Source organism: Homo sapiens, chromosome 6 (assembly GCF_000001405.40).
Source record: "Homo sapiens chromosome 6, GRCh38.p14 Primary Assembly".
Taxonomy (NCBI): domain Eukaryota; kingdom Metazoa; phylum Chordata; class Mammalia; order Primates; family Hominidae; genus Homo; species Homo sapiens.
Genome location: NC_000006.12, coordinates 24,396,543 through 24,402,783, shown reverse-complemented (window position 1 = coordinate 24,402,783; position 6,241 = coordinate 24,396,543). Strand labels below are relative to the sequence as shown.

At 44.0% G+C, this 6,241-nt stretch overlaps 5 annotated features.

Moving 5' to 3' along the window:
* Positions 969-1,263: a silencer, noted in NCBI's record as "tiled region #326; HepG2 Repressive non-DNase unmatched - State 3:PromF, and K562 Repressive non-DNase unmatched - State 7:EnhWF". NCBI's record gives its function as "represses a minimal TATA promoter and a strong SV40 promoter by Sharpr-MPRA in HepG2 and K562 cells {active_cell/tissue: HepG2 | K562}" and the evidence as "EXISTENCE:reporter gene assay evidence [ECO:0000049][PMID:27701403]".
* Positions 1,420-2,155: an enhancer, noted in NCBI's record as "OCT4-NANOG-H3K27ac-H3K4me1 hESC enhancer chr6:24400857-24401592 (GRCh37/hg19 assembly coordinates)". NCBI's record gives its function as "activates a minimal SCP1, AML or CMV promoter by ChIP-STARR-seq in naive and primed H9 embryonic stem cells {active_cell/tissue: H9 hESC(naive and primed)}" and the evidence as "EXISTENCE:reporter gene assay evidence [ECO:0000049][PMID:30033119]".
* Positions 2,149-2,443: a silencer, noted in NCBI's record as "tiled region #571; K562 Repressive non-DNase unmatched - State 5:Enh". NCBI's record gives its function as "represses a minimal TATA promoter and a strong SV40 promoter by Sharpr-MPRA in K562 cells {active_cell/tissue: K562}" and the evidence as "EXISTENCE:reporter gene assay evidence [ECO:0000049][PMID:27701403]".
* Positions 2,149-2,891: a biological region, named in NCBI's record as "OCT4-NANOG-H3K27ac-H3K4me1 hESC enhancer GRCh37_chr6:24400121-24400856".
* Positions 2,156-2,891: an enhancer, noted in NCBI's record as "OCT4-NANOG-H3K27ac-H3K4me1 hESC enhancer chr6:24400121-24400856 (GRCh37/hg19 assembly coordinates)". NCBI's record gives its function as "activates a minimal SCP1, AML or CMV promoter by ChIP-STARR-seq in primed H9 embryonic stem cells {active_cell/tissue: H9 hESC(primed)}" and the evidence as "EXISTENCE:reporter gene assay evidence [ECO:0000049][PMID:30033119]".

Below are 6,241 nucleotides of genomic sequence, written 5' to 3'. Positions count from 1 at the left end.
GGCTGGGAGATGGGTGGAGCACGTTTACCTGCACTAAGTGAGCTGTCCAACCTAGGTTCTTGGGCGCTTGGAGTGTCATGGTTTTGTAGTTTGTGGAGAATTTTCATACCTATGAAAATTGCAGTTTGGAAATGAGCAGGTTACCCATTCCCACATCATTTAATTTATATTTAAATTTAACGTGGTGTAGGGAGCAAGAGGGAAAGCTCCTACTTTTGCCCTCTGAAAGTTGCTGGAATGAACTAAGTAGACAGATTAGCAGGAGAAAAAGGCATACAAAATTTGCTTAACGTGCATAGGGAAAAATCACAGAAGAGTGATTACTCAATAACTCAATTAAGGTCCAGATGCTTGTATACCCTTCTTTGTTGAGTAGAGGGAGATAGGTATGAATGGGCCCGAAAGCCAGACAGTGGTTTGCAAATGATTCTCCTTGGACATTCAGTGGGACAGAAGTACAAACAATCGCTTGTGGACAAGCTGTGAAACTTCACTCTGAACAAAAATTGTCCTATTATACAGGTAAAGTTTCCCAGGTAATCTCTTGGAGCTACCCTCAGAAGTATCTATGAAAAGTCTCAGTGTGGCTATGACTTTCAGTTTTTGTCTCTTCTCTGGGTGATTAATCTCTTCTGATTATTTAATGCGATTCCTAAGGAACGGGTTTTAAGACAATTGCATTTCTTTGGAAAAGAGTTTTCTCTGTCAGATAAGGAAATTCCTTATCTGGCTGTGCAGGAAAAGAGAGCCCCTTCAGGTGCTTGGAAAAAGTAAGAGTATCAGAGAGACAAAAGGAAGGGGGAAGGTGAGAGAGAGAGGCCTTGATTTTTAGGCTTCTTTCTGAGACCCTTTTAATTTCCTTTAATTCAAAGACTCAACATGCCACCGGGCGTGGTGCCTCATGCCTGTAATCCAGCACTTTGGGAGCCAAGCACTTTGGGAGGCCAATGTTGTGGACCACTTGAGGTTAGGAGTTCAGGACCAGCCTGGCCAACATGGCAAAACCCGTCTCTACTAAAAATACAAAAATTAGCCGGGTGTGGTTGCAGGTGCCTGTAATCCCAGCTACTTGTAAGGCTGAGGCATAAGAATTGCTGGAATCCAGGAGGTGGAGGTTGCAGCGAGCCCAGATCATGCCATTGCATTCCAGCCTGTACTGCATTCCAGCCTGTACGACAGAGTGAGACTCCCATCTCAAAACAAACAAACCCCAAAGACTCAGCATGCCAAAACATCATATTTTGGGGTATTATGGTTTGAGCCCCAGTAGTGGCAAAAATAATCAACTGTCATATGGAATGATGTCATGTATTAAACTTTTGCTATAAAGAATGAGGAGCACAGACACATAAGATTTCTATTCCATATTTAATAAAATGTAAGATAGCATCAATTTTAAGGTACCATTATTTTATGTACCACCAAGAAAGAAAAAAAAACTGATAAGTTATGCTTTCTAAACATGTAGATTGAAAGACATATCTCAATTCCAGTCTTTAAAATATGAAAAAAGTCTTAGGTTAAATACAGTATGTATGCATATTTTAAAAATATGAGTTAATAAATTTATTGTCCCTTCCACAGTAGTAATACAAGGCAGACACAAGTTCCACAGACTTCCTTTCAATATCTATGTATGGACACAAAGCTAAGGAGACAGAGATAGAAACATTTTATTCTGCAGGGTACTGGGACTGGGGATGGAGTAGGAGGGCAGTGCACAAAGAGAAGCCTTCACAGAAGAGAGGATGTTTGACTTGATAATGTGGGGAAAAGAAAGAGAGATCAGATTGTTACTGTGTCTGTGTAGAAAGAAGTAGACATAAGAGACTCCATTTTGTTCTGTACTAAGAACAATTCTTCTGCCTTGAGATGCTGTTAATCTGTAACCCTACCCCCAACCCTGTGCTCCCTGAAACATGTGCTATGTCACCTCAGAGTTAAATGATTAAGGGCTGTGCAGGATGTGCTTTGTTAAACAAATGCTCGAAGGCAGCATGCTTGTTAAGAGTCATCACCACTCCCTAATCTCAAGTACCCAGAGACACAAAACACTGCAGAAGGTCGCAGGGACCTCTGCCTGGGAAAGCCAGGTATTGTCCAAGGTTTCTCCCCATGTGATAGTCTGAAATATGGCCTCGTGGGAGGGGAAAGACCTGACCGTCCCCCAGCCCGACACCCGTAAAGGGTCTGTGCTGAGGAGGATTAGTGAAAGAGGAAGGAACGCCTCTTTGCATTTGAGATAAGAGTAAGGCATCTGTCTCCTGCTTGTCCCTGGGCAATGGAATGTCTCAGTGTAAAGCCCGATTGTATATTCCATCTACTGAGATAGGGGAAAACCGCCGTAGGGCTGGAGGTGGGACATGCTGGCAGCAATACTGCTCTTTAAGGCATTGAGATGTTTATGTATATGCACATCAAAAGCACAGCACTTTTTTCTTTACCTTGTTTATGATGCAGAGACATTTGTTCACGTGTTTACCTGCTGACCTTCTCTCCACTATCATCCTATTGTCCTGCCACATCCCCCTCTCCAGGAAACACCTGATAATGATCAATAAATACTAGGGGAACTCAGAGGCCGGTGCCGGCGCGGGTCCTCTGTATGCTGAGCGCCAGTCCCCCGGGCCCATTTTTCTTTCTCTATACTTTGTCTGTGTGTCTCTTTCTTTTCCAAGTCTCTCATTCTACCTGATGAGAAATGCCCACAGGTGTGGAGGGGCAGCCCAACCCTTCAGATAATTGAAGGCAAAGAAAAACTTTAATCATTGCTTCCAGGGCGTTGAAGTCTGGAAAATCGCTGAGTATAGAGAACATGGCTGGTAGATTTTTCATTTTACTAAAGCTTTAATGATGAGATAAGTATTTCAAACATATTACATGCCTTCAGAGATGCTTCTTTGAGAAAATATGTGATAACTTTCTCTTTAAAACAAAATTTGCACCCAGCACAATGAGACAGCTCTAAGATAACTTTTGCAAAGTCTAAGGAAAACTCTGGAACCTGTCCAGACGTACAGCCTCGTAATTCGTGGCAAAGATTTTTCTGAGAAGGGTGGGAACCATTGGAGGACTTCGAGCAGAGAGGTAATGAGCAGAGGTAACAATCTGATTTATGTTTAAATGGGTCACTCTTGCTGTGTGGGAAAGAGACTACAGAGAGGCAATTGGAAGCAGAGAGATGGTGATGATGGTTTGGGCTAAGGTGGGGATGGTGGAGAGGGGAAGATGAGTTGGGCTTGGTACCATATATTGAAGGCTGAGTTGACAACATTTGCAGATGGGATATAAGAGAAAGAGAGGCATAGATGTTGCTCCAAAATGTGTATCCCGAACAGCAGGGCCTTGCTGGTGCTATTTACTGAGATAGGGAATTTTGGAAAGGAGCAGTTTTTTTTTTGTTTGTTTTGTTTTTTGTGACGAAGTCTCGCTCTGTCGCCCAGACTGGAGTGCAGTGGTGTGATCTCTGCTCACTGCAAGCTCCGCCTCCCGGGTTCACGCCATTCTCCTGCCTCAGCCTCCCAAGTAGCTGGGACTACAGGCGCCTGACACCACGCCCAGCTAATTTTTTGTATTTTTAGCAGAGATGGGGTTTCACCGTGTTAGCCAGGATGGTCTCGATCTCCTGACCTTGTGATCCACCCGCATTGGCCTCCCAAAGTGCTGGGATTACAGGCGTGAGCCACCATGCCTGGCCAGAAAGGAGAAGTTTTTAATTGAAAACTGTGGCTCAAACCTGTAATCCCAGCACTTTGGGAAGCCAAGGTGTGCGGATCACCTGAGGTTGGGAGATCGAGACCAGCCTGACCAACGTGGAGAAACCCCATCTCTACTAAAAATACGAAATTAGCTGGCTGTGGCGGTGCATGTCTGTAATCCCAGCTACTGAGGGGGCCGAGGCAGGAGAATCACTTGAACCCGGAGGTGGAGGGTGCGGTGAGCCAAGATCGCACTATTGCACTCCAGCCTGGGCAACAAGAGTGAAACTCCCGTCTCAACAACAACAACAAGAACAACAACAAAAACAAGAACAACAAAAACTATGGCATGGCATTTGGTTTTGAATGTTAACTTCGAGAGATGTCCTAGACAGATATCTGAGTGTAGATGTCAAGTAAGCAGCCTGGAATTCAGGGAAGGTGTTGGAGATAGATAGTTACATTTGAGACTGTATAGAATATTTAAAGCCACAAGATTGGAAGAGATCTCCCAAGAAGGCCGAGCACAGTGGTTCACCCCTGTAATCCTAGCACTTTGGGAGTCCGAGGCTGGTGGATCACCTGAGGTCTGGAGTTTGAAACCAGCCTGGCTAACGTGGCGAAACCCCGTCTCTACTAAAAATATAAAAATTATTGGGGTATGGTGGCAGGCGCCTATAATCCTGGCTACTCGGGAGGCTGAGGCAGGAGAATCGCTTGAACCCGGGGGGCAGAGGTTGCAGTGGGCCAAGATTGCCCCACTTCACTCCAGCCTGGGGGAAAGCAAAACTCCATCTCAAAAAAAAAAAAAAGTCTCCCAAGAAGTGAGTCAGAGAAAAAGTCATCATACAATTGAGCTCTAGATCCTCTCATATTGAATTGTTAAGAAGATGAGATAGATCCAGCAGAAGAGTATGAGGAGTGACAAAGAAAGAAATAGAATCAGAGGGTGGAATCCTAGAAGCCAAGTAAAGAAAGTTATTTAGTTGGGGTTCAGAAACTGCTACCCCAAAATATGTTTTGACATGTTAAACTGAAGAAGCCTCAAGGTCTCGCTGGCACCACCCCCTGCCAACTGAGTCTTCCAAAGATGAAGTTAACGTTTTTTTTTAACCTAAGATCCAGACCCATTAAAAGAAACAACTGTCTCTTCTCCTCCCTGAAAAACCAAGAATGTAACCATGCTTGAACACACCCTTTGACAGGGTAATGTTCATGTTCATCTCTGTTCCCTGATCCATTCATTCTCCCTAGTAATCCCCTCAATAGAATTCCTCTTCTACTCCCTCCCATAGCCTATTTTGCCAGGGTGGTATATAAGCTTCTTAACCCTGTTGGAGGTTGTGTAATCACCCTGTGATTCTCCCTGTGTACACATTTATACAATTTGCCTTGTCTCCAATCAATCTGCCTTTTGTGGGTTGATTTTTTTAGCAAACTTTCAGTGGCTGAAGGGGAAGTTTCTCTTGGTCCCTACTGTTGCATGAATGAAGAAGTGATAAGTTATGTCAAAATTTTCTGATGGGTAAAATAAGAAATGAGAATTGTCTATATTGGACATGACACTATGGAACTTATTGGTGATCTTCATAGGAGCAGCTTTAATAGAGTAACAGGAAAAGGGACCTGTGAAACCACTTTGCAAAGATTATCACAGTAAGAGATATCTGATGTAGTTGACTCCATCTTGCTTCTGACCTCCAAGCTGTCCTTGGTTGTTCTTAGGTATAGGCCAAACTAACCATGGAGGAATTTGGTTTATAGCTTAACTTTGAAGCAAGGATAATAGTCCTACCCTAAAACTACCCCCTTCCTGCTTGTTTCGGGGCTGAAACCACCTTCATGAGACTAGTGAAAGGCCCAAGATTAGGATTATGGAAGGAGTCTGAGTTCTGCTAAAATGTGGGCATATGTTCTATAATCCCTTACTGTTCAGGAGTCGTGTGGCCAGAGATCACAAGATTTGTGCTTTCTCAATTGCTCCTATAGATAACATCATCACTGTAGAACCTAAGATTGGCCCTTTGAGATGTTTTTCAGACTGACCCCACTCAAATTCATGACTTATGACTCAGCCTGTCCTGTGGTTCCACCTAGAGGAGAACTCAGTGCATGAGGACCATTTTCCAGCCCCTGTGATTTCATCCCCAACCAATCAGCAGCACCTGTTCCTTAGCCCCCTGCCCACCAAATTGTCCATAAAAACCCTAGACTCTGAGCCTTCAGGGAGACTGGGTCAAGTAATAACCTCATCTCTGGTGTGGCTGACCTTGCATCAATTAAACTCTTGTTTTACTGCAATGCCTCAGTCTCAGTGAATTGATTATGGCTGTGCAGCAGGCAGGAAGAACCCATCAGGGTATCACACCTGGATCACTGTCTTCCCTTTTATCCCAAGCCATAGCAGAATCCCAGAAGACGCCTGCATCTATATAATAACAATCTAGCCTCAACATTTCTTAATCTCTTTCCTTACCTTCTTGGCTTCATGGCACATTGAGCTAAAAAGCTATCTTTCTTGATCCCCACTTCCCCACTCTCCA